Source organism: Homo sapiens, chromosome 1 (genome assembly GCF_000001405.40).
Source record: "Homo sapiens chromosome 1, GRCh38.p14 Primary Assembly".
Lineage (NCBI taxonomy): Eukaryota > Metazoa > Chordata > Mammalia > Primates > Hominidae > Homo > Homo sapiens.
In genome coordinates this window covers 148,432,959-148,460,333 of record NC_000001.11, presented here as the reverse complement: position 1 = coordinate 148,460,333, position 27,375 = coordinate 148,432,959, and the positions used below count along the sequence as shown (strand labels likewise).

At 40.0% G+C, this 27,375-nt stretch overlaps 2 long non-coding RNA genes and 1 pseudogene across 3 annotated transcripts, besides 3 other annotated features; 2 read left to right on the top strand and 1 right to left on the bottom strand.

Annotated features, from left to right (window-relative positions):
- Positions 218-755: an enhancer, noted in NCBI's record as "H3K27ac hESC enhancer chr1:143744178-143744715 (GRCh37/hg19 assembly coordinates)". NCBI's record gives its function as "activates a minimal SCP1, AML or CMV promoter by ChIP-STARR-seq in primed H9 embryonic stem cells {active_cell/tissue: H9 hESC(primed)}" and the evidence as "EXISTENCE:reporter gene assay evidence [ECO:0000049][PMID:30033119]".
- LINC01138 (long intergenic non-protein coding RNA 1138) lies at positions 414-27,375 on the top strand. 2 transcript variants are annotated; one of them, NR_027468.3, is made up of 5 exons: positions 414-732; positions 23,770-23,890; positions 24,980-25,188; positions 25,773-25,894; positions 26,095-27,375. It is a non-coding gene; the product is annotated as a long intergenic non-protein coding RNA 1138 (long non-coding RNA). The 2 variants fall into 2 exon arrangements; NR_104014.2 differs by lacking the exons at positions 23,770-23,890; positions 25,773-25,894 and having other exon boundaries at positions 26,691-27,375.
- Positions 1,295-1,833: an enhancer, noted in NCBI's record as "NANOG-H3K27ac hESC enhancer chr1:143743100-143743638 (GRCh37/hg19 assembly coordinates)". NCBI's record gives its function as "activates a minimal SCP1, AML or CMV promoter by ChIP-STARR-seq in primed H9 embryonic stem cells {active_cell/tissue: H9 hESC(primed)}" and the evidence as "EXISTENCE:reporter gene assay evidence [ECO:0000049][PMID:30033119]".
- Positions 1,577-1,736: an enhancer, noted in NCBI's record as "active region_1647". NCBI's record gives its function as "activates an Ori minimal core promoter by ATAC-STARR-seq in GM12878 lymphoblastoid cells {active_cell/tissue: GM12878}" and the evidence as "EXISTENCE:reporter gene assay evidence [ECO:0000049][PMID:35858748]".
- LOC105371224 (uncharacterized) lies at positions 15,182-19,897 on the top strand. Its single transcript, XR_001737711.2, has 2 exons — positions 15,182-15,233; positions 15,585-19,897. It is a non-coding gene; the product is annotated as an uncharacterized LOC105371224 (long non-coding RNA).
- On the bottom strand, positions 23,365-25,478 carry LOC647481 (family with sequence similarity 91 member A1 pseudogene; annotated as a pseudogene).

Genomic DNA, 27,375 nt, shown 5'->3' with positions numbered 1-27,375 from the left:
GAGTGGAGGTCGGGGTGGGGAGACGCGACTCCTGCCCGGGATGGCTGACACTCTGCGAGCCCCGGCGGCCCGCGGCCGGGCCGGGTGACTAGGCGGAGGGCGCGGAGGGTCCGCGGCGGGCGGGTGGCGCTGCAGCAGCCTGGGCACGGCTGCCGCCGCCCGCGGGCGAGAGTGTGCACGGGTGTGGAAGGCCGGAGTGCGGGCCGTGAGGGGTGTGCGCGCTTGAGCCGGAGCGGGGCTCGCCCCTCGTCGGCTCCCGCCGCCCAGCCGGTGATCGCTCTCCGGCCGTCCCCGGCACCCTCGGCCCCCCACGGCGGTTGGTCCGGGCGGGGGAAGGAGAAAGTGAGACTCGGTGTCATCACCAATCCGTCGCCAGAAGGGGAGGAAACTGGAATCCAGCAGCGGCGAGCAGCAGCTGGGCGGTCACATCTGGAAATGGAAAGCCGACCTCCCCCTCCTCCTCCACCTCCTCCTCCTCCTCCTCCTTCTCCTCCTCTCACCCAGGATCACTTCCGAAACCAGTTGGCCTTCAGCCCCTGCCTCGGCCAGAGGTTTCATTTTTAACTGAATATTTACGAAAGCTGAAAGCGTGCGAGGGGGGTGGGGTGGAAATAGCGGCTGCTTCTTTTCCAAGGATTTATTTAATGGGGATGTGTTCAAGGCAAGACCGAATTCAGAAGGATATCGACGTCGTGATCCAGAAGTCCAGAGCTGAGGACTGCCTGTTTGCAGGTGAGTTCTTGCTTTTCCAGAACCTCGGACCCAGCGCCCCCTTCTCAGTTCTCCGACCGCGACGTGTGTGGCTGGGGGTGGGGTGGAGGGTTTGCACGTCCGCATTCCGGGGTTCATTTGGCGACAGCTGCTGCAACGAACGCGGGAGCCAAAAGCGGGAGGGGGCGCCAGCCTCGCCCCTTCCCCTCCCCCCACCCCCAAGTCTGGGGCAGCTACTAGCTTTGAAGGCAGAACCCGAGTGGCCCGAGCGGGGGTCTAGGCGAAGGGGCAGTGCGTGGTATTTCCAGCCCCGCGTAGTGCCCGAAGCCTGCAAGCACGCCTCCTGGGTTCCAGCAGCGGCGGCAGAGCGGGGTTGGTTGGACCCGCCAGGTTTGCGTAATGGGCTGAGCGGCGGCGGCCGGGAATGGAGCCTGCTGCCCTGCGCTCGTAAGCTGCGCCCGGCGCCGAGGACCCCCGGGGGGCAGCGCTCGGCCCATCTCCGGCCCCTTCGGCTCCATCTAGTCCCCTCCGACTGGCAAAGAGAAGGGATTCCTCGGATTCCCAAGGCACCCAGCGCCCCTGCCTGGGGGGTCGCCGTTCGTCCATTTTGCTCCCCCGGGAGAGAGATCGGATTTTGCTTTCGCTGCCGCGAGCCCGGCTGGGGCTGCTTCCGGCCTCCCCGACCGGGAAATTCCCGCCGTTGCCATGGCACCCGGCACTTGCTGCCGGGGGCGGCCTGCCGCTGCACCCAGTCGGGGGCGCGCCGCATCCCCTCGGACGCTGCGCGGAGAGACCTCGCCGCCCTCTAGCCCTCGCCTCCCGCCCGGCCAGGCCTCCCCTGACTCCACCAAATGGAGGGCCCAAGTCCTGATCGGGGTTAAAACAAATCCACTCCAGGGGTAGCTTTTGACAGGACTTTCTGTTTCAGATTCAGATACTCAGACTCCACCTTTACTTTTACCTATGTTGGCGGCCCCAGAAGGTATTTATGGGTGTAGAGTTGCTTCATTTCCTGTTCACACTCTTGTGTTTCCTTTGTTCTTAGCGTGTTCCGTGTTCGGGTATTTTGGTTGCTTGTTTGATTACTGTGGCTTTTCTTTACCTACAACCCAAGCCTGACGTCCCACGGTTTTAAATAGCAGGGGGAGGGGAATCAATGTTTGATTCAGGTGTTTCGAAGACCACGCCACAGGCGATGAGCAGAACTCTTCATGTTGAAACGGTTCTGCTACAGTACTAGATTGCTCTCAGGCGATTTGGGGTTGATACAGGCAAGCCGGTGCAAAACTGGAATACTGGATATGAAGTGAAATGTATAAAAGACATAAAATGTCACAAAATAGTTTGATCACAAGTGTTGATTTTCCTGGTGAGTTGGGGCTGCGTGTTTCCATGTTTTCTGAAGGTTCACATAAACATGCAGCCTGCCAATTCTCTGTACATTTTTTTTTCAATGAGTGGTATTTCGGTTTTCACGTTTAGTTGTAAGACAGAAATTGGAGACTTATATGTAGCTGGAGTGGATGACTTCTTTCTTTTGGGGGAAGAATGAGAGATGCACATTTCGTTAGTAAATTGTGAACAACTTGAAACGAACCCAAATCCAATTTTGAATTTAAGAAGTAGAGTTAAAATGAAAGGTAGCCATTCAAATACTATGCCTTGCTGCCTTCACTTATTAAGTTAGGATTTTCTTCCTTTTAGCCCTTTAGGGATACAGTAGTTTAAAAGAGCAGTAGCCACATATGAAAGGATCAGATTTAGCTTAGAGGGAATTCCTTAGACCAGCCCTGCTGTTAAGACTTGACATTCAATATTGTTTGATCACATTCCAAAATATAGCTTAGCTAATGGCAACATTTGTAAACATATAAATTGCAAAAGAAGCTTTCTTGTGTACATACATTTTTAAAAGCTTGAAATTGATGTGAACTTTTAAAAACACGTAGGATCTGTATTACATTCTACTTCTCAAAACAAATTTAATTAAAGTGAATATCATTCCAGTATATACAATATGCCTAAGACCCAGAATTGGCACATTGATTTACTAGTTGAAAATATAACAGTATTCACCAAACTTCAATGTATACTTTTTGGAGAGAATGAAATTACAGTATTTCTTAATTTACTGTAATGTCATCTTTGTAATTATGAATTAACAATTCAATGAGAGGAGACTTGGTTGATTAAATTAATGCTGGTCCTACACATTATATCTAAAGGATCTTCGTATATGACTACTATCCTCTTGGATTATTTTAACAGTTAAAATATACAAAGTGGCCCATTAAAAACAGAGTTGACTTTTCACCATTGCTGTTTTTCTGGTGAGACATGTGGAAAGGAAGGACAGGTGGACTTTTCAACTAACTAGCTCTCTGATTTTTAATAAGATACCTCAGTTCTTTTGGCCTCAGTTTACTTATCTGTACAAAGGGTAAGTCATATGCTTAATCACTAAGATCTGTTAGATACTGCAGTTAAGATTCTTTATCAGCTAATTACTGAACTCTAGTGTTAACATAGCTAGAGGTGGAAAAGGGAGCAAGACCAGGTGTTGGGATGAATAATTAACTAATCGAGATAACATCAGTTTTCACCATAGGAACAAGTACCATGGTTGCTCTTAAAGTAAGAGATGTTTCCTATTTTATGTAATTTTACTAAGGGATAATGTTTTCTTTTGTCACTGATTTAAATGTACCTGGATGTTTCTCAGCCATTTGGCTAAGATCGAACACAAGTAATACCTGGGCCTTTTATATGTAATCTAGTGTAGACCAGCCTGTTAAAAGAGAAAGACAATTGGTTAAACTGCTGATGTGTTGCTTTGTCTTCTCAAAAGCTTGTTCTATAATACAATATGTAAAAAGTTGTTACAGTGTAGTAACCGTAGATAATCCCTTTATGATTTGTACCTAATGGTGAAGACCTTTTATTTTCTGAAAATAACGTGTTTGTTTTCATTACCGACATTAGAAGCCAATATTTATTAATCTATTTCTCATCCTGACATTTCAGTCAGACTCTTAAAATAATCTTGCTGTGTTTTGATTTAATGTGCTTATCAACTTATAATATTGAATTAATGTTAATAGTGTCATTTTAGGTGAACTAGACTTCATTGAAGGAGGTGGGAGCCTTATGGAGAGAGAGTATATGATTATCTCTATTTGTATTTAATTACCATTTCATCTAACCATTCAGAACATATTTCAAGAATAATTTTAATTCAAGTTGTAGATAAAACTTACTATACCATTTTCATTTTGACGCTTTCCAAGAATGAGATACACGGTATTTTAAAGACAAAGATTGATCTTACATGTTACTATTAAAAAAAACACGATAATTTTGTTCTACATTTATACTTTTAATTTTTCTGTGGATAATAAGAAATGCCAAGAGTCGATTGTGTCCATGCTGGCAAGTGGCCTAATAAATTGTCCTTTTATTTGGTGGTCCTCAGAGTGGCAGTTAACATCTTGCTATTCTGCCTTGTGGACTTGAGGTGGAAAGGTTCATGGAATTATATCCTTGCTTTTGGATGTGCAAACTGAGGCTCAGAGAGTTTAAGACACATAGTCACTTTCACCAATTAAATGATGAAGCTGCCATGTAAACGTATTTCATCACACTCCCGAGACCTTCTTCTCCAGTAGTGTTTTCAAGCTTTTTGAGCATGCAGACACTACCATCAAAAAATTATGTAGAGACATACTTGAGAGTTACAGTTTAAAGAAAAACAAGGTGTAATTATTTGGTTATTAGTAGCATTTACATATGCTTGAAAACTTCTGCTATATATACAGTAAGATTAATTTATTCTAACAATGATCTTGATAATTCCCCTGATTCCCAGACTCCTTGGAATAGCTCCACAGCTATCGGTGGTTCTGCCACAGGTTCAGAGCCTTCCCAGTACTGCCTTCTTATTTGAGAGGTGTGCTAAGAGCTATAAAGCGGAGGCTTCAATTGTACACAGTTTGGAAGTTTAGGCAAAAGTCATTTCTTCCCTATATTTTGTCATGCTTATCTCCTGTCTCTTTCTGTTTTACAGATTAGCAATAAACTCCTTAAAACCCAAAGGTTTGGGCTTCTGTTCCTTTCACTTGCAGTCAGACATGGAGTTAGTGGTAGAAGAAACAGAAGGGGTAACCTGCATGGTGACAGCTACTGAGGGGATGGATAGGAAAGCAGGCTGAGTCCCTGGGGCCAGTGGTTACCAAAGCCAAGGAGAGAGCAAGGGGAGCCCAGTGGGCCTGGCCATGGACTGCTCTGGAATTCCGAGTGTGAACTTTCAGCCAAGAAGGTAGTGTGAAAATATTACTGTGAGGTTTTAAAAGTACACAAATAACAATTGTTTTTTGTAAAAAGAAAAAAAAAAGTTAGAAAAAGAGATATGCCAAAAAGAAGAAAGTAAAAAATACATGACTTCTGTCTTCTGTTAACATATTAAAATTTATTCTTTTAGATTTTTATGTGTCTATATACATGTAAAATATATATGCATCCCCAAATTGTATTATACTCTTTTGAGACCTCACATTTTTTTTCACCCAAGAATATAACATTAATTTCTTTCCTTTAGAAAAGACATGAGACTAAAGAATGTTTATTGAGTTGAGAGTTTCCCAATCGAGGAGTATGACTCTGTATAATAATAAATCTAATGTTTTATTAGAAATTATAATAAAATTAGAAATTTAATATTTGGCAGGATGTGAGTTGCCTGCCTATGTACACCCTTTATTATATGACTAGACACTCTTTTGTGTGGTCATGGATATATTGGCATCTTTTGAAGTGTATCCTTTTTGTTTCAGGAGCTTCTGTCTAGATGAATAGCAAGTGTGACACTGATAATAGTAATCGAATATTCCTCCAAGTACAGGCTCCTTCCTCTTTCTCCTGGACCTTTGCACATGCTGCCTGGAAAACTCACCCACAACCTACTTTCCATCCTCTCCTTCGGCTCATCCCTGCTCAGCCCTCTTTGTTGAGATATTTGCCAAGCCAGATTCTCTGAGAAGCCTTTCCTGGCATCTTCGTCTATATAATTCTGCTAGTTGTTTCTAAAACTATGTTGTTAGTGTATATTGTAATCACCTATTTATGTCTGTTTGACTGTGAGCCTCTTGGAGATGGGAATTCTCTCCTATGCATTGCGGTTTCCCCAGCCCCTAGCACACTGTCTAGCCCAGTATTCCTTCTCAGTAAGTAGGTGTTGAATGACTTACACAATGAATGCTAAAAGACCTGGTAGACAAGAAGGAATTTCTTAGCCTAAATGACCAGATGTGGAGAAGATACTCAAACACTTCAGGGTCCCCAATCTGGTGATGTCACTTGCAGTGGAATTTCATATGAATCCAGTGTGACAGAAGTTGCCTAGTCAAGTTGTAAGTCCTCTTCTCTGGGTCACATGTTCAAATACTTTTAGGGGACAGATAATGCAATATTTAAGATACAGGAAGTGATGAGGACTGTGGCACACTGGAGAGTTTGGACTCCAAGAGTAATTAATTCAGTTGAAAAAATCAACAGCACTCTGTTGATCAAGCAAACTTTCTAGGGGCCCTAATCCACCCGGGCCTGCAGTATGTAATTCCATAACTCATGGGATGCCATCAAGAGAGACAATCTACTTGATTGCTAAAGGGCCTTTGTTTTCTTTGGAGTTCCCCAGGAAGGAGAAATGTATGTGTGTGCAGGGGTGAGGAGGGGGGAGAGTGAAGAAACAATACTATCCCCCTAAAAAGGTTTGTCAGTTTTCATTATGAAAGAAGATCAAACGTGCCCACTCCAGAAATCTTGGCATATGCAGTTATTTTGAAGCCATTCAGCATTCTTCAAGATGTCACAATGAAAAGAGTGATGATTTTTTAAATAAAAAATTAACATGTTTCTCTTGGCAATGGGACTTTCTCACCATACTTTTAAGTTACATCACTTATTATGTATTCAAAATACTGATTTTTTAAAAGTATGTTCCTTGGAGCCCTGGGAACCTGCCTCAGGAGCTGAGGTGGCTGTGGGGAGGGAGTATGAAGGGAGCTGAATGAGTTAGTGAGAATCTGGGTCTTCATATCTTTTTTAAAATTGTGGCTGCTTTTTTCTGTTCTGTATAACAACTCTTTTTGAAAACAGTTTCATTGTTGAGTTTTAAAACCACTGACCTAAAATAACCACCAATTTAACGTAAGTATAACTTCATTGAGTTTTTTTGTATTAAAAAAATTAAACTCCATTTTCTTCATGGATTAAGGTGATCCTACTAGGATATTTATTAAGCATTGTCTCTGCTGTTCTTTTTGCTTGCCTTGCTTTATCCCATGTTTCCAAAAAATACAAATAGGTATTTTGTCAGCTATTTTACATTTTATAGCAGGGAAAACAGAGGCTTGAGTGATTTAAGTAAGTTACAGTTAGTAAGAGCCATAGGATACATTTCGGTGTAAGTCAATGTTTATGTAAGGCTTAAGGGACATTGGTTGAATTGGCATGACTAGAATAGTTGGGAATGTTTGGGAATGGGGAGAGATTGCTAATGGGATGTCTGCCAGGGGCAGTACTGAAAATCTGCTGGTTGGCAAAGGTAGTGTCTGAGCCCAGTGCTAACCATAGTAGTTGGAAAATTGTGTACGTTGGCTGTGGAATCCTTATGCAAATATTTGTCCAATCCATCTAAATTTCTCTCTGCAGCATTTTTAAAAAGACATATAGCTGAAATTTTGTCAGTCCTAAAAATATTTTGTATTTCTCTGCCCAGATTTGCATTTGGGTAGATCGTGCTGTAGAAGATATATCTTGCTTTAAGATAGCTGCCACTGATTAGTTTATTTTAGTATTTTAATCAACTTATTGCCTTGTAATCTTTCCTTTTTCATTCTCTAAATTTCTGAAATTCTATCTTTCATGTTCCCCAGGAAAGACTAGTAAGACGTGTTTTTATTAATAAGACATTATCCTCATTTCACCATGACATAATTTGGGCTTTCTGTTCCAAGTTATCCTACTTGAATGCTGGACACTTCCACCTGAATATTTGTCATTTTCACCTCAACCCAGCACATCAAAACAATCCCTTATTACCTCTTTAAAAGAAGCTTCTCTCTCCAGCCTTTTCCTAGTCAGTATCACATCTTTTGAGCCAGGCATGGGGATTGCAGTTTCAGATTTCACCTCAAGTCTTCCTCTTCTGGTTCCTGAAGCTCCGGCAACCTCTACTTTGAAACATTGTTGGCCTCTTCATCCCATCCCATGTCAATATTTAGCCCATGCCCTGTTGGCTTTGACTTAACTCAATCACCTTAACCCAGTGTCTTAAAATTCTTGATTTTGAGTTTCTTATCCATCCAGTTTATTTACACCTGAACTCTTTAAGCATGAAATTAATCATTCTTCTGTTCAGAAGCCTTCGAATGTGACCACAGCTTTTTCCATATAGACCTAAAACTTATATTCTTGGCCTTTGAGAGCTGCCTTCCCTACCCACTGATATATGTTTCTCGTGCTTCCTAACACCTACATGCTTCTGTTTGCTTAGTGACCACCCCCCACCCACTCATCAGCAGTTTGTATTAATTTAATGTAAAGCTGTGTAAAGTTTATTGATTGATAACATCTGTGTCAAGATCATGGTTTTTATTATAAAGAGCAGTTCATTGTGTTTTTTCCTTGTCGACGAATGGTATCTCTGTTCATTAGAATACATAATATTTTATGCATAGGAGGATAGAGTGAGAATATGAGTAGAACAAAGTAAGAATGAGAGGAGAGAATAGTGAAATTTGAGGATAGGATGAGAATGTAAATAGATTTATGTCCATCCATTACAAGATTAATAACCACAACGATAAAAGTCTTGAATGTTATTTATTTGCATATGAGTGATATTTCAGTTTGTGGCTGATACCCTTTTGGTATTAAATGGAAGATGACAAATCATCCAATATTAATTTTAGAGGGAGACATCTATTGAAATCTTTGTGCAGTCAGGTCAAGTTTCTGTGTACAAAAATTAGCAGAGAGGTTGCTGCTGGTTGACTTCCCCTAGGATGGTGTCTTTCTGAACATTTTGAAATGTAGATTGAAAAGGTGGATTTGTCAACTAACTCTGAAGTGCTGTAGTTAGTTGTGTTTTCATCATTGTTTTATTATTTATTTTATTTTTAAGATGGAGTTTTCGCTCTTGTTGCCCAGGCTGGAGTGCAGTGGTGCAATCTTGGCTCACTGCAACCTCTGCCCCCCGGGTTCAAGCGATTCTCTCCTCTCAGTCTCTCAAGTAACTGGGATTACAGGCACACACCACCACGGCCAGCTAATTATTTTGTATTTTGAGTCGAGAGGAGAATTCACCATATTGGCCTCAGGTAATCCGCCCGCCTCGGCCTCCCAAAGTGTTGGGATTATGGGCGTGAGCCAGCCACGGTGCCCGGCCTGTTTTATTGTTTGAAAAACAAGTACAGGTTGTTATTATCCAAGAATTGTTGATAGAGTATATACTGTATTTGAAGTGTAGAACTGAGGCAGAGGCTGATTAATATAACTAGTTTACATTTGTTAGCCTTTCACATCTGTGAAGGAATAAAGTACAGACAAAAGTGGAAAACAAACCAGGAAAAAAAAAATTGTGAAGCACAGAGCTGCTTAAAAGAATAAAGTCACAGAAATAAGTCAGTATTTTGTTTAGAGACTAGAACTCCAACTGCTAGCCAACTGCCTAGAATATAGTAAATATTTTCTAGTTTCTTAAATGACTAGTAATATTCCTACATTATGTGATGGCATTTCCCAAACTGTTTAATTAGATGTTAGATTTGTAGCCAAATATGTCTAGGAAATGCTTAAACAATATAAAACAGTTTTAATGATTGGCTTTTTAGAACGTTATATATTAGTGTGCTTTATGCATATCCAAGAGGTGAGTGAGGTATTTGGGGTTTTTCAGACTTACTTGATTACAGATCTGGAGTATCTCAAAACAGTTGTTTTGTGGAAAACACTTTGGCAAACTCTGAGTCTTAGTCATTAAAAATAGTTTTTGGGTAAACAACAGTGTAATAGAAATGGAAATTACTGATTCACATTGAGCCATGAAGAATTTATTTTCAGCAATTTTTATAGAAGTTGCTTTATGACAAAGAAAGCTTTGGTTAACTGGCATTTGGCATTTCATGCCCCTAAATTTTCTACATGAGGATTTATTTCTCTGGTTCTCTCACTTTCTCACTCAGTTATACTGAATTCATTTATGATGAGCGCTCTCAACCATTCTTATTCATCAAAGCCCTGAAGTTGGCAGAGCCCTCTCTGGTACCTGATTAGAAGTCCGTCTTCCGTCTCATAGGGAAGTGTTAGAGATGGATAATGTTTCTGTGTAGCAGAAGTAGTCATTATGTCCCCTTAAATTCGGTCACTTTGACTACAGTAGAGCTTCTTAGTGAGCAGTCTGTGATGGAGTATACTTTCGGAGAAGCTCATGGTGGGGGAAATCTGGAATTTATCTAAATATTTCATTTCTTTGATAAATTACATTAAAAAATTAATGAGAGTATCTATTTGGTGAAATCACTTTCCTCCATGTGACCAAATGAGAAATTTAGTGAAAGATTTAAAATCATTTTTCAGACTTTTTCCACATTAGTCGGGAAGCAAACCCCTTTTTTAAGGCAATGTCAGTTATTAAGCTTTAGGGAACCACATGCCACTTTAGGTAACACGTGATTGGAGAGATTGAAGAGTGAAGTCCCTGCTTTAAAGTGTACTCCTGTGGACACAGTAATACATATATTTAAAATGGTTCATGTTAAGAGTAGGTATATTTCTATCTAAATACTCTGTAGCTTTTGTGATTCAGGGAAACGAGTGGAGCCTCACAGGCACAAGAATCTAGTAAATTCTAGGTTTCTTGTGTGGAAATCAGTGTGCAAAATCTTAACTGAGTGAATTCTTGATTATTGGTATCACATTTATTAGTCTGTATGTATCTGTGTCATTGATCTCCTTAAGAAGAGACTCGTAGATATTGACTGGGAGACCCAAGCTGAATGCTAAAATCTGCTCCATGGATATAAGCTGATGCAGTCATCATTTCACATTAAAATGTACCACAGCTATATATGCAGCAAAAAAAAAAAAAAAGTTAGTCCCTCCAGCTGAAAAGCGGTCATTACTTTATTATCACCACAGAATTTGAAATGATTTCTGTAGTTAACAGTCAGATTTTATTTTTGCTTAACTAAGACAAAGTGAATAATTCACTGTGAGCCAAATTCTTTCTTGATTCCTCTTTTTGGAGCAGTCCATCTTTATGGGAAAACCAGCCTAGAATGGTGATTTCAGTTTCAGGTGATTTCGATAGAATTGTATTTGGCTCAGAAATGATAAGACTGGGGCCAAGAAAAATTTTAAACTTTTTTTTTTTGTAATCATATTACTAGTTTGATTTCATATGAACTTCCTTTGTTGACTTTCTTTGCCATTAATTTAAAAGTTCCAGTATCCTCAATATTTGATGTCTTATATGTACAGAATCCTTTCCAGCTGTAAGTCATCAGCAAGTAAAAAATTTAGTATGGCAATAGTTTTCATAAGAGGTTTTTTAAAACAGAAAAATGTTGACATTGCCAGCCTCTGGGTTGCATTTTGGGATATGCTACATTTCAAAGGTATCTTTTAAATCTGAAGGCAAAGACTTTTTCAACATCTGAATATTCTGATTTACAGAAATTAAAAAAAAAAAAACCCCGGAACATTACACGGGCATATAAATTTGAATCAGGAAAATATAAAATTAGCTGATTATTTTTATTCAGTAAAAGTGCCTTGGCACAGAACTAAAATTGATAACTTATGGTTTTAGCATGTAGATAAGTACATGAGAGTAAATCACATTTCTATATGAATAGAAATATCCACTTTATTCATGTATAGATTATAAAACTATACTAAACAAAAAGTAATCATTTACTATTACAAAAATTATTAAGAGCCATTACAAAAATTCTCTGCCTACTAATTTTCAATCACCATAGAAATACAGTATTTAATAATGCTGCTGCTGTACTTACATAAAACATATTAAGAATAGATGTTATATTTCTGTGTTTGAATATTGAGCTTAAACATAAAACATGTTTGAAATGTGTTTGTGTGTGTCTCTCACACACACACATAACATGTACATACCTGAAACTCATACTGCAATTGCAACACATCTTAAGTTTTTCCTTTTAAACATACCAAGATAACATTCTAAAATGAAGAATAATATCTATGTCTCTCTTCATACTACATACTATCTCTCTATGTATATGCAATTGCTATAAACATATCTTCATATTTGATATATATAGGTACATATAATATGGATAGATAAATATAGATATATGAGAGAGAAATGGAGATTAGAGATCTATGTTTGCCATAAATCATACTTGTTAACATAAACCATCTGATTAAACTGATATTTTGTGGCCCAAGACCTGAGACATGCAAAACTATTCTTAGCAGATAGAATTTTCTAAAAGCTGAGAGCTCATTCTCCAGGAGCTGGCCAAGGACCAGTCCTAAAGGCAGACCTTTCTTGGAAATGTACAGAGTCTGGGCAAACAAGACCTGCTGAGTTAACCCTTTCCTATACATATGCAGACGGTATTCAGCACAGGGCCTGACAGAAGGCAGTGTTTGTTATTATTATTCATAGCATGAGCCCATTTCTTGTTGTGAGCAACATGAACAAGGAGACTAACGGGAAAAAAATGCCCTTTTTTAGGGTGACCACCCTAACTGATTTGAAAGTCTACAATTTTTTCAGTTTAAAATGGTATTTATTTGTAACATGTACTATTATTGAATAACAATTTCTAATAAAAAAACTACGCTAGTTTTCTGCCTATGGAGAAGCCACCTTTTTATTCTTTTACTTTCTTAATAAGCTTGCTTTCACTTAAAAAAAATCTACCCTACATATACACAAAAGTTAAAAAGCAGCAATAGTGTACATTGGTCAGTATAAATGCATGCAGTTTTCTTTTCTTCAGTGTACAAAGTCCAAGTCTAAACCTTTATAATTTTTAGAGTCTAGCGATTCTCCAGACTCCATACTTTTCGTTGTTATCAGATGCCAGCGTTAATTGCTTTTCCTTTCTTCTGTTTTGGGTTCCTGATCTTCATCTGTGTCTTTAAAACAGATTATTTTCTTTAGATTTGAAAGGTTGGGTTTTTGTCTTCATTTCTTATTTGTTTAGCCTTGTATTTCCCTTTCTTTAATTGAATTGTGTTATTGAAAATTAAATAATTTCTCTGTGAAGTCAAAAATCCTGTTTCAGGGTGGGCTCTAGAGCCTTCCTCTTGGGCCATATCCTTAGAAAGCCTGTGTGTATTCTGATACATTTGGCAATTTCTACTGGCTTTTCTTGTATTGTCTGACCCCTTTTTATTTCAGCGGTGCATCCTGGTCTTACCCAACAGGCAAGTGGTGACTCCAGTGCAGGTGACGCAGAGGTGACACTAGAATGAAGTGAAATATTCTGTTGAGGGCTAAGTTCATGTTTTTGCTGACAGTGGTAGATAAATGTCATGGCTTCCCCCTGCATAGTGCTTAGGACATTTCTTTTGATATGTGTTTTAGAGAAAACATAAAACTTGTAATCAGGAAAATGCAATAACGGAAGAAATGCTTACTTGAGTAACTAATGTGAGTTAGGCAAAGAAGATACAAATACTTCCCATTTCCTACTTCTAAATTACAGTCAAATTGTCCTAAGCAAATCTCTCATTGTCTCCATGTAAAAGATATAGAGAAGCCGTTAGAAAAAGGTGGCTGGAACAACTTTATACATACAGCCTGAATGAACTGCCTCATCATTTATATGTTTGAGGAAAGTGTCTGTTTGATAATTTAAATTAAGTTTAAACTGTCATAAACGGAGAGCTGTACAGATTCTGTGGGAGAGGATACTGGGGTACCAGATACTCATTACTAGGCTCTCCACTCTGCCTTCTTCAATACTCTGGATCGGTGCCCTTTATTCATTTTTTTCACAACTTCCTCCCCTTTGCTCACATTCTTTACAAGCTTCCAGGATTTTTTAATTTTATTTTATTTCTTTCCACAATGACTCTCATGGCTGTTGCTATAGTTGCTATAAAAGGCAAGGTGGGGAACAGACAGGTGAATGAGCACAGAGGTCATTTGTAAACCGTTTGTGGTTAGTGCTCCTCTGTTTACTGTCTGTCTGTCTCTCTCAGTGTCTCTGGGTATGTGTCTGTTTACAACATAAAATATATGCACACAAATCTCCAATTTTTCTAGAGTAACTATTAACACAGTTAAAATCTGGAAGAACTCTATCTTTTAAAGGAAATACCAATTAGCAAATAAAAGAGTTGATTCCCCCCAACTCTCATTCCCCAGAGCTTGCTTAAGTGTGTGGTTTGCACACATTCCCTAAATAAAAACATTGCTGGCTCATAACTATGCTTCACTTTCATAAGCCTTCCAAATGTTAGTAACTTAGCCTTCTCCTTTTGAAGGGTTAGTCTGTAAGTGATACTGGAAGCCATGTGGTAAGAAAGAGGACAGAAGTATAAAATCAGACTCAGAAAGTAAAATCTGGCATATTTGGCATAGATCCATTCAGCTTCGTATACTTTGTTAGGACCCGAGGGCATGCCTGATTTTCATAAAATCGATGCACTGTTATTAAAACAAACAGGTGAAAATCACTTTTGTTAAACTACTTGACAAGGCATCTGACTACCTTAAGTGTGTTATAAATTTTGCAAGTGGTTAAAATTTTATGCTTATGAATTCAAAAGATAGACTTTAAATTAAAAACTAATTTATGTAGATATTTTCCCTAATAATATAGCACAAATGGGTTTTATTTCCAACTGAAAAGAGTATTTATTACCATGGATATAACTAGAAGAATCATATAAATATATGTAATTCCATTAGAAAATATTTTTCTTAAAATTTGAAATGACAAGAACTTAATGAATCTTAAATATCTCTTGTTTTATTTTGAAAAATTGTTTTCATAAGATACAATTGAGCAATTGAGATTTGTTCTCCCAGTATCTGAAGATTTTTTTGGTCTTGTTTTGTTTTTTGGGTTTTTGGCCCTAAAATTAGGTGAATTCAGCTTTGGGTCTATTTCATCCATTCTGGAAGGTTCCTTGGGTCACTGATCTGAGGCATTCTTGATGTGGTTAGGACTTCCCAGCATTATTTTTTTTAGATCCTGTTTATTTAAAATAAAAAGGATTAGCATGAGGGATGGTAACATTCCTTTTTGATATCTGTAGCAGCAAGTTTTCTTATGATTCATTATTCTTCTTCTTACAGCTTTAAATCATCTAGGAACTTCATATAAAATTTAATTCCAGTTTCAACTAGTTGTGGAGCATTTGATCCAAAATAAAATGAAAGTCCTCTCTGAAGCTGTAGAGTAGACTCAAGAATCAGAACAACCTGAAGTTCTTTAAGCTGTCAGTTGAAGGACTAGGTAAAAAACAAATATCATTTAGTGTGATCATTAATGCACATGAGTCATTATTCCATGTGGTTGCTGTCGACTGGTCAGGGGCACTTCAAGCCCTAATCTGTACTTTGTCCTGTCTCTCTACACCCCATTCTACTTTTTCAGCTTGTTGCCTGTAATATGTGAATGGAAATAAAATAATCAAGCTTGTTAGAATTGTGTTCATAATGACACAAAAGACCTGAGAGAATGTAAGAACATATAGAACATCCAAAATAAGACATATGTTTGGTTGGTTTAAAACCTTTTTGTTTGTTTCATTTTCTTCTGTGCTTAATGTGTAGTTACTATTATTTCATATCCTTTGACTTACAGGTTTGACTGCAATGCAGTGTGAATATCGCACATGGGACCATTTGTCATACTGTCAGATGGCAATACATAGATGGATAGAATTTTGCTGTTTGATCAAAGCTGTGCCATCGGAAACTTGTTTTCCCAAGTATGGGTACATTCTCCTCTTTTCCTGAGTGGAGAAACCTAGATCTGAGCAAAAAGCATGAATCAATACACCTTGGGAGGCAGGGTGTCAAATATTTGATGCCATTTCCTTTGCTTGTAAATTGTTCATTTCATTTGAATATAAATATAAAAGGACTTCTACCAAGAACATGAAACTAACATTTTGCCAAGCTAAATTTTAATGAATTTATTTGGACTTTTTTATAATCACTTAATATTTTCAGTTCATGTGCTAATATTAACTCTACTTACTGGAGAGAAAGAAATGGTATTCAATATGATAACTGCCTTGTTACTGCAGAAATGTAGAAGTTTGGCATCTTAAGTATCAAATATTTTAAGTCAAAAAATTACCAGTGTCCCACAGCACAGAGAGAGAATATATGTTTGCTTGTGTCCCTTTAATCTTTCCCCTGTAAAATTAAGCCTAGGGGCCTTACACTATTTTAAATTTTCAAAATTAGGTCATGTAAATGTTGTGTCAGATTTCCAATTCATAAGTAGTATACTTATGAATACTGAATAGTGAACATAGGGTACATTTTTATCCTACTGATTGCTTAGCTGTGGACCAGAGGTAAACAGAGAATGAATGGTATTTTCACAGGTTAGTAAACTGTTTTTCTATGATCTCTTATATACAAGTGTGATGAACATTTTTTCCCCCTTCCTGAACTAATATAGGAACATATGGTCTAATAAGTGTGAGTTCATTTGGGGAGGGCAGGATAGAATGCTTGAAATTAGGACTGACCCAAAAAATGCCTTGGTCTCAGTATTTGTGGATTACGAGGAGGAAGGGCTGAAAAGGAACCTTAAAAGCATTAGAATGGTAGAGTACAGATTAGCAGCAACACTCAGGGCTCCATCATGAAGAGAGTGAGATGAGTTCCCATGGTTAATGCAGCAGGGGCTCTAATTGAAAGCCCTCTACCTAGGAAATGATTTAAATCCTTTTATCCTAGCTGGATTGTGAACGTTTTATTTACTTTGAGGAAGTTGTTTAACCCTTTTTGTAGATTGCATCAATATTTAGAGTAATGTAAATACATTTTCCCTTTGGCTATTTTACAAGGACATTGAGGATTAATTAAATTTAAAAGAAAGTAGTGCAGTTAACTCCCAGGAGACAGAGGGAGATGTTTATCATTTTTCTCATCATTCATTCCTTATTCATTCATTTTACAAATGTTTGTTGAATAGTAATTATAATGAAGATACTATACCAGCTTCCTGAATTGGGAATACAAAGATGAAGGATGAGAGTGACTTCTGCCTTCATTATGTTATGTGTTCATATTTTCTTTTTAAAATTCTCATTATAATATGAGTAATTGTGCAGGGATTTAATATTGCTGGTCTCAGCAATAGTTGATCTTTGATTAACATCTCACTGACACATATTTTCACTGTGTATATTTATTTTTCCTTTCTAAATTTAGAACTACTCTTTATCTTCTACTGTAAGAGATATACAACATACTTTTGTTTTTTTCTATGTTGTAATCAGTGCAGTTTTTTTAACCAAGAATAAACACAAGTTCTAATAGCAAACAGAAATAAACTCCCTACACATTACCTTCTCCATTAAAATATGTTTTATGCCACATGCAGAATTTTAATATTATATAGTTATTTGTGAAAGTATAACTAAATAGAAATTTTAAGAAAGAATGCCTCTAATATTCATATCTTAGCACTAAAGAAGCATATATTATTCTGCAGATTGAATTAAAATGTTAGTTACCAAGATATGAACTTAGACATTTTCAGTAAGCATTTATAGGCTATTCTAGTAGAAAACTGTACACAATTTCCCATGAGGCTGGTGAAGGTTTCTTAGCTTAAGCGACTTTTTAGCTGGTTCTTGGATTTTATTAAATAATATTTGAATGAACAGTTTTGACTAACAGCCTGAAAATATTAATCTTTCCTCTCAGTCTGAGCAAGCGAAAGTAGATAAATTCATATTGTATGTCTGATTCTCTTTGGGTTTGAAAAGAAATAAAGACTCTACTTCTAAATTAGCATAGAAAAAAGGAGAATTTCTCTTGATTTATTTCTCAGTTTGGGTTTGTGCTTTTGAAAAAGGAAAATAATGATCCTGAAATCAGTAGGCTTTGTCTTTGCCAAAAAATGTGGACATGTTGATCTTAGGGGGGCTGATTATATAAAACAGTAGAAATGTAGTCTTAGATGAAAATCTGTAAAGATGTAAGAATGCTGAACTAACATGAAAATCAGGGGCTGAGAAAATGCTGGATTGAGAATAATGTGATAATGAAGGTTTTATATATATTCATATATATAAAATGTATTCATATATTCTCTTCAACATACATAATGTCATAAAAAGGATAAAACGCCTAAGTCTAGTCTTGGCAGAGCACCAGCTTAAATCACATGAGCCTATCAGAGAACTTATGACAATATTTAGGGCTAAACTGATGTTACTGGTGAACCAGTATCTGGAATGATTTCCATAACTCACTTAACTTGCACATTTATAATGTGGACTTTAAAAAATAATTATCAGGATGGCTACTCTGAAGCCAGGAGCTTAGGAAGTGTCACAGATGGTATATATTTGTATTCCTGCCTCATGTCCCTTTCCCTGAAGTGGCGTGTGGAGTATGAGGGATTACGGTGTATTTGTAGGTGGTGTCCCTGAAAGGCTATCAGGGGACTTCTGGTTCTGCTTCAGTTCTGTTTTGTGAAGACGGTCAAGTGATTTAAGGTCTCTTGCTTCAGCCATCCCACTTAGAAAGCAGTTGCTTTATAGTCCTTTGGGTATATACCCAGTAATGGGATGGCTGGCTCAAATGGTATTTCTAGTTCTAGATCCCCGAGGAATCGCCACACTGACTTCCACAATGGTTGAACTAGTTTACAGTCCCACCAACAGTGTAAAAGTGTTCCTATTTCTCCACATCCTCTCCAGAACCTGTTGTTTCCTGACTTATTAATGATTGCCATTCCAACCGGTGTGAGATGGTATCTCATTGTGGTTTTGATTTGCATTTCTCTGATGGCCAGTGATGATGAGCATTTTTTCATGTGTTTTTTGGCTGCATAAATGTCTTCTTTTGAGAAGTATATACCCAAAGGACTATAAATCATGCTGCTGTAAAGACACATGCACACGTATGTTTATTGCGGCACTATTCACAATAAGCAAAGACTTGGAACCAACCCAAATGTCCAACAATGATAGACTGGATTAAGAAAATGTGGCACATATACCCCGTGGAATACTATGCAGCCATAAAAAATGATGAGTTCATGTCCTTTGTAGGGACGTGGATGAAATTGGAAATCATCATTCTCAGTAAACTATCGCAGGAACAAAAAACCAAACACCACATATTCTCACTCATAGGTGGGAATTGAACAATGAGATCACATGGACACAGGAAGGGGAACATCACACTCTGGGGACTGTTGTGGGGTGGGGGGAGGGGGGAGGCAGAGCATTGGGAGATATACCTAATGCTAGATGACGAGTTAGTGGGTGCAACGCACCAGCATGGCACATGTATACATATGTAACTAACCTGCACAATGTGCACATGTACCCTAAAACTTAAAGTATAATAATAAAAGAAAAAAAAGAAAAAAAAAAAAGAAAGCAATTGCTTGAGACTACTTCACTGTAAGCTCCTTTTTTTTTTTAAATAAATGCAGATTTTATGATATTCCTGATCATTCTCTTTGCACTTAGTTTTAAAATGTTATTTGCAGTTGATTAGAGAGTGGTGATAAGTAAGCCAGGATTTCTGGAATGCCAGGGCACTGTCCCCATGCATGGAAAACTGCACAAGAGCTTGTGTGTCTTGACATTCCCACATGTCAGGATGCCTTCATTTGCTAATGACAGAATACCCAACTCAGACTGGATTAAATAAAAGGGGATTTTCTTGCTTATTTAACTCTAGATTCAGTGGTAAATGGGTTTCTGGGTTGATTGGTTTGGGGCCTAACAATGTCTTCAAGGACTTGGTTTCTTTTCAACAGTCAGCTTTTGCCTTCCTGTGAGCTAGCATTGTTTCCCATGGGATTGCAAGGCAGCTGCATACAACTCCTGCAGTTCTTCCTTTTCCATATCCAGAGAGGGGACGTCCTTTCAGACGCTGATTATTTTAGGTGTAAATTCCATGTCCCATCCCTAGAGTCAGGGGTAAACTTAGCGATTCCCAAATGAACTATCCTGAAGAAGATACGATGTAGTATTGAATAGCAGGAACATTTTTTATTTTATTTTTATAGAGATAGGGTCTCTTTCTGTAGCCCAAGCTGGAGTACTGTCTTAGTCTGTTTTTATGCTGCTGATAACGACATACCCATGACTGGGCAATTTACAAAAGAAATAGGTTTAATTGGACTTACAGTTCCATGTGGCTGGGGAAGCCTCATAACCATGGCAGAAGGCAGGGAGGAGCAAGTCACGTCTTACATGGATGGCAGCAGGCAAAGAGAGCTTGTGCAGCAAAACTCCCCTCTTGAGACTTACTGTCACAAGAACAGCATGGGAAAGACCTGCCCGCATGATTCAATTACTTCCCACTGGGTCCCTCCCCCAACACATGGAAATTCAAGATGAGATTTGGGTAGGGACACAGCCAAACCATTCTGCCCTGGGCCCCTCCCAAATCTCATGTCCTCACATTTCAAAACCAATCATGTCTTCCCAACAGTCCCCCAAAGTCGTAACTCATTTCAGCATTAACTCAAAAGTCCAGTCCAAAGTCTCATTCAAGACATGGAAAGTCCCTTCCACCTGTGAGCCTTTAAAATCAAAAGCAAGTTAGTTACTTCCTAGATGCATTGCAGGTACAGGCGTTGAATAAATACAGTCATTCCAAATGGGAGACATTGGCCAAAACAAAGGGGCTATAGGCCCCCTGTAAGTCCAAAATCCAGCAGGACAGTTAAATCTGAAAGCTCCAAAATGATCTCCTTTGACTCCATGTCTCACATCCAGGTTACACTGATGCAAGAGGTGGGTTCCCATGGTCTTGGGCAGCTCCACCCCTGTGACTTTGCAGGGTGTAGCCCCCCTCCTGGCTGCTTTCACAGGCTGCTGTTTAGTGTCTGCAGCTTTTCCAGGCACATGGTGCAAGCTGTCAGTGGATCTACCATTCTGGGGTCTGGAGGACAGTGGCCCACTTCTCACAACTCCACTAGGTGGTGCCCCAGTAAGGACTCTGTGTGGGGGCTCTGACCCCACATTTCCCTTCCGCACTGCCCTAGCAGAGGTTCTCCATGAGGGCCCTGCCCCCTACAGCATACTTTTGCCTGGGCATCCAGGCATTTCCATACATCCTCTAAAATCTAGACAGAGGTTTCCAAACCTCAGTTCTTGACTTCTGTGCCCCTGCAGGCTCAACACTAGATGGAAGCTGTCAAGGCTTGGAGCTTCCACCCTCTCAAGCAACAGCCCAAGCTATACCTTGGGTCCTTTTAGTCAGGGCTGGAGTGGCTGGGACGCAGGGCATGGAGTCCCTAGGCTGCACACAGCATGGAGACCCTGGGCCTGGACCATGAAACCATTTTCTCCTAGGCTTCTGCGCCTGTGATGGGAGGGGCTGCTGTGAAGACCTTTGACATGCCCTGGAGACATTTTCCCCATTGTCTTGGGGATTAACATGCGGCTTCTAGTTACTTATGCAAATTTCTGCAGCCAGCTTGAATTTCTCCTCAGAAAATGGGTTTTTCTTTTCTATCACATTGTCAGGCAGCAAATTTTCTGAACTTTTATGCTCTGCTTCCCTTATAAAACTGAATGCCTTTAACAGTACCCAAGTCACATCTCGAATGCTTTGCTGCTTAGAAATTTCTTCCACCAGATACCCTAAATCATCTCTCTGAAGTTTAAAGTTCCACAAATCTTTAGGGCAGGGGCAAAATGCTGCCAGTCTCTTTGCTAAAACGTAACAAGAGTCACCTTCGCTCCAGTCCCCGACAAGTTTCTCATCTCCATCTAAGACCACCTTAGCCTCAACTTTATTGTCCATATTGCTATCAGGTTTTTGGTCAAAGCCATTCAACCAGTCTCTAGGAAGTCCCAAACTTTCCCACATTTTTCTGTCTTCTTCTGAGCCCTCCAAACCGTTCCAGCCTCTGCCTGTTACCCAGTTTCAAAGTCGCTTCCACATTTTTGGGTATCTTTTCAGCAGCCCCAACTCTACTGGTACCAATTTACTGTAGTAGTCTGTTTTCACACTGCTGATAAAGACCACCCCAGACTCGGCAATTTACAAAAGACAGAGGTTTAATTGAACTCCTGGCTAGGGAAGACTCACAGTCATGGCGGAAGGCAAGGAGGAGCAAGTCACGTCTTACGTAGGTGGCAGTAGGCAAAGAGGCTTGTGCAGGAAAACTCCCCCATATAATAACTATCAGATCTCTTGAGAGTTACTCACTGTCACGAAAGCAGCACCGGAAAGAACTGCCCCCATGATTCAATTACCTTCCACAGGGTCCCTCCCACAGCACATGGACATTCAAGATGAGATTTGGATAGGGACACAGCCAAACCGTATCAAGTACAATCTTGCCTCATTGTAGCCTCCACCTCCTGGGCTCAAATGATCATCCCACCTCAACCTCCCAAGTAGCTGGGACTACAGGTGTGTGCCGCTACACTGGCTATGTTTTAATTTATGTAGACATGATGTCTTCCTGTGTTGCCCAGGCTTGTCTGGAAGTCCTAGGATTAAGGGATCCTCCTGCCTTGGCTTCCCAAAGCTCTGGATTACAGGTGTGAGCCACTGTACTTGGCTAGCAGGAAAATTTCTAAGAAATAGATATTGGTGCAATAACCACAAAGCCAACCAGAGAGAGTTTTTCCATTTCCATTTTATAACTCATTTTTTTCCTTGACCTTGGAAAACTAGGGAACAGTTGGACTTAAGTAAGTAAATGTACTTTACTGTATAAGAATACTTCACTCTGACACACAGCATCTGCAACACACAAGTCAGCTCAGACTTCAGTAACTGCTATTAGTATTTCTATCATGAACCTCACAGATCCCTGGTGACCAGGCATTGCATAAGAAGAAACTTCACAAGAGATAGAGATTCACGGGAAATATACCAGAATATGTCATAAAGAATAATCTCTTTCCAATGCATATGGTGGGGATAATGATATGTAAATATTTTAATTTTTTTGACAATATTTTACAATTAATTTAGAACTTATATAGTATTATTGATGTAGGTTTCAAACTCACAATTATGACTTAAAGTATATACTAATATGATAGAAATTCAAAGTCAGATAATTCTCATCTTTATATAGGAAGTAATTATGAAAGTTCTCAATTAACATTAATATAAGACCTAGAAAGTAAGTCTAGCTTGACTGTTGAAGTATAATAGTATTTAAATCCTTTACTGAAAGAAAATCCGCCACTTACCTATGATGAGTGGTTATATACATTTTGTACCTTTTATTATATAGCCTTGTCAGTTTAGAAAATTAAGAACATTATGATGTTTTATTGGTTGAGTGGTAGCCCAAGCTACTCAAACAAGAAAATGATGGTTTGAGTGCACTTGATTTTGGACAGATAGTATCACTGAGAACTGCTTCCTTGTTTGTGCCAGAAAATGGGCTGACGTTTGAGAAGATGTTTAAATATGAATGATTTTTTTTTGATAAGTTATTTAGCGCAATTTTCCTACAAACTTTCCAGTTTAATTCGGAACTGAACAGTGGAATTCCAAAGCACAGCTCGAGAGGAACCCAATCTGCTTCTGTTGTGGCACCAGAGGTTTGCTTTGTTGCTGAATCTGTAGTTGCTTCCTCAATGACCATTTCAAATGACTCTGTACTCCCATTTACATCTGAGCCAGAAGCCAAATCAGGTTTTCCTCTCTCATCAGAAGCATCACTGAGTTTTCTATTTGCAAGTTGGATGGAAACATTCAACATGGTGACATATCCGCAGAGATGTTGTAAGTCCACTGTTCCTTAGTATCTGCAATGCTTTATGAACACCCATATTGACACGAGTGAACTCTCCTTGTAGTTCTGTTTCATCAAATGGAAATGGGACATGGACAGTTTCTCCTATCCCATGCAGACCATGCTCCTGAATTAAAACTGCAGAATGTGTTAAAGCATCATTCAACATCGTGAGCACATTTGAGGTAGGAACTACTCCAGGATCATGACCCCAAGATGTTATTAGCAATCGATCATAACTCTGAAATATATCTGGCAGTTTTTGAGGTCTTGTACCTTTGGACAATAAAAGGGATGGTGGTCCTTGTCCAGTGATATGATAAATGTACCGTTTAAACCAGACAGAGCTGATTTCTGGGATAGCTGGTCCAATATGCTGAAGGGTGCAGCTGCTGATGGGCCGGATTTCATTGGTGAGGGGAGCCATGGAAACAAGCAGCGTGTAGTTTTTGTTTAAAACTCTGCTGAAAGTTCCAGGGTCCAGACCAAGAAGGCTTTCACAGTATAAGAGATCCAGAGGAAAACCATAATTGGGTTGGTCTGGCTGTGCAGTTTGCACAACTAGATCTTTGTTATGATGCAGAAACAGTATTGTGTTTCTCAGAGTAAATGCATGATCAAAATACCTCTGTGCTTCTCCTTCACCAGTGCTCTGAACTGGTGAAAGATATCCCATCATTAAGAAGGCAGTAAGACTGGAGTCAAACAGGAATGCGATGCGTTTCGTGTGTCCTGTAGACAGACTCAGGCTGCTTACACTGGCTGAGTCAGCTGGATCTTCTTGACTATTTGTATCAGTATCAGTTGCCGATGAAGCTGATTTCTCAGGCACATTTCTCAGGCAAAGTGCGTATCTTGATGTCATCTTATGTGATATATCCAGCCTGCACCACCCACTACGCCTCTATGGCAATTTCCACTGGCTTTATTGGTAGAAGATCATGGGCTGTTTTCCTTCTGAAGAATTTTTTTGATGATCTACACTGATTCATAAGATCAATATACTGGTTTCTTCCTATGCCGAGAAGCCTTAGACAGTCAGCAGCAGTAAAATTGGGCAATGAGTCATAACTTTTCTCACTGTTCATAATATTCTCCATAATCCCAGTATAATATGAAAATGGTGTTATGCTCAAGCCCTTCACCATAATATCCGATAGATGGTAAGGGTACAGCATGAGATGATCTTGGCTGTACTTTAGCACTTCCTCACAGTATCTGCATTCATCTTTCTTGACATGTTTAAGTTATTTCTGTATCGTAACTGATTGCAGATACTGTACAGGACAACCTGCTTTTCATATTCTCTGTGAATTTCAAAGACGACTGGGATTTTCTTCCTCCTCTACCACCCTGAACAGCAAGACCAATACATCCTGTATTTCCTCCTCTTCAGCCTACTTGTGAAGACAAGGATGAAGACCTCCATGATGAGCCATCTCCACTTAATGACTGTCTCACATTGGCCGGCAACTTGTTCCAGGTATAGTTGTGCCGGATGTGGAACTCCACATCTATGTTCATGATGCGGCGGCCAGGGCCGGCGGCGGGGGCCACGACCGCGACCCACACTAGGCCTCCCGCCTGCCCGCCCGCAGCCCGTCAGCGGAGCGCTGCGGGAGGCCCGGCGCCTCGCAATGCGGGAGGCCCGGCGCCTCGCAATGCAGAAGGCCCAGGCTGCCTCTTGGCCTGGGCTCCCTACAGTTGAGTGTGGCCCAGGCCAACCGAACACTAGAGCAGCAGCGATGGAAGGCTGGGTCGCCTGAGCAGCTCGGAAGGCCCTTTTTAACTTTAGACGTTCTGTTTGATGAAGAGATACATAGGTTATCAACTTAGGCCAGGTTCAAAAGGCCCTTCAATCATATGGAAGTGAAACGTAACCTCCTCCCACAAGGAAAAGGATTGACTCGCCCATTCAACCAGGATACTTAGTCTTACTAAAAACTTAGAAAGAAGAATCCCCCAAGAATCAATTACAACCAAAATGGAAAGGGCCCCTATCAGGCATTATTAAGCACCCCCACTGCTGTTAAACTTCAAAGTTAATTTTGTTTTTTTTTTTTTTAGATGAAATCTTGCTCTGTCACCCAGGCTGGAGTGCAATGGCTCGATCTCGGCTCACTGCAACCTCCACCTTCTGGGTTCAAGCAATTCTCCTGCCTCAGCCTCCTGAGTAGCTGGGATTACAGGCACGTGCCACCATGCTTGACTAATTTTTTTTTTTTTTTTTTTTTTGTATTTTTAGTAGCGACGAGGTTTCACCATGTTGGCCAGGCTGGTCTTGAACTCCTGACCTTGTGAAATGCCTGCCTCAGCCTCCCAAAGTGCTGGGATTACAGGCATGAGCCACTATGCCCAGGCTCAAAGATCCTTTTTTTTTTTTTTTCAGATGGAGTCTCACTGTGTCCCCAGGCTGGAGTGCAGTGGCGCGATCTCAACTCACTGCAAGCTCTGCCTCCCGGGTTCACGCCATTCTCCTGCCTCAGGCTCCCGAGTAGCTGGGACTACAGGCGCCCGCCACCACTCCCGGCTAATTTTTTTTGTATTTTCAGTAGAGACGGGATATCACCATGTTAGCCAGGATGGTCTCGATCTCCTGACCTCGTGATCCGCCCTCCTCAGTCTCCCAAAGTATTAGGATTACAGGCGTGAGCCACCGCCCCCGGCCCTCAAAGATTGTTATGAGTCCTCACAGATGTCAGAGGACGATGCTGTGACCTATATTTGCAAACGCCCGGAAGACTTAAAGCTATTGTTTTGCAAATGCACAGATAACAATAATAACATGATGCTGTGGATGAGCATGAAAGTTTTTCTCTTACTCCTAATTATAATGTTTTCCCTCTTACTGCTTTGCCCTGCTGATGGAATTCAGTAAAGGAATCTCTACCAGCAGACACTTGGTTTTTACCCTTCCTAGGACCTTTAATAGATATCTTTTTATTACTAATCTTTGCTCTTTGCTTGTTTAACCTCCTTGTAAAGTTTGTGTCTTCCAGATTACAATAATTCCATGTAAAGATGATGCTGGCACAAGGCTTTCAACCCATCCCCTCTTCTGACCCAGAAGATAAAGACATCCTACCTTTGAGCCTTTTAGAACAGGTATCCAGGGATTTTACCTCTCCAGTGCTAGGCAGGGTCTATGCCCATAACATCAGCAGGAAGCAGTTACAGAAGATGAACCTCCGCCCTTCTGCAAGCCCCTTAAGATTAAGGAGGAGTATATAATCTCTGATGGGGAAATGAGGTAGGAGACCAGAAGGACTTATTTTCCATTCCCAACCCCATTGAACAGAGCAGGATCTGGTCAAAACAGGGTGCAGTGGAGAAGCCTGCTGAAACCAGCAGATGATGATGAAAGTGACCTCTAGTTGCCCTCACTGCTTATGAGCATAAAGACACTACCACTGGGACCATGGCCAGTTTACAAATGTCATGGCAACACACCTTGGCAATGGCCTGGAAGTTACTTTATATGGTTCTGGAAACTCCCTGCCCCTTTCCCAGAAAGTTCTGAATAACCTACCTCTTAATTGGCATGCAATTAAAAGTGGCTCTAAATACAACTAGCTAGTAGCCCACAGGCACAAACTCTGGGCACACTGCCTATAGGTTAGCCCTGCTCTGCAAGAAGTAGCACCAGTTCAATAAAAGTTGCTTTCTCTCA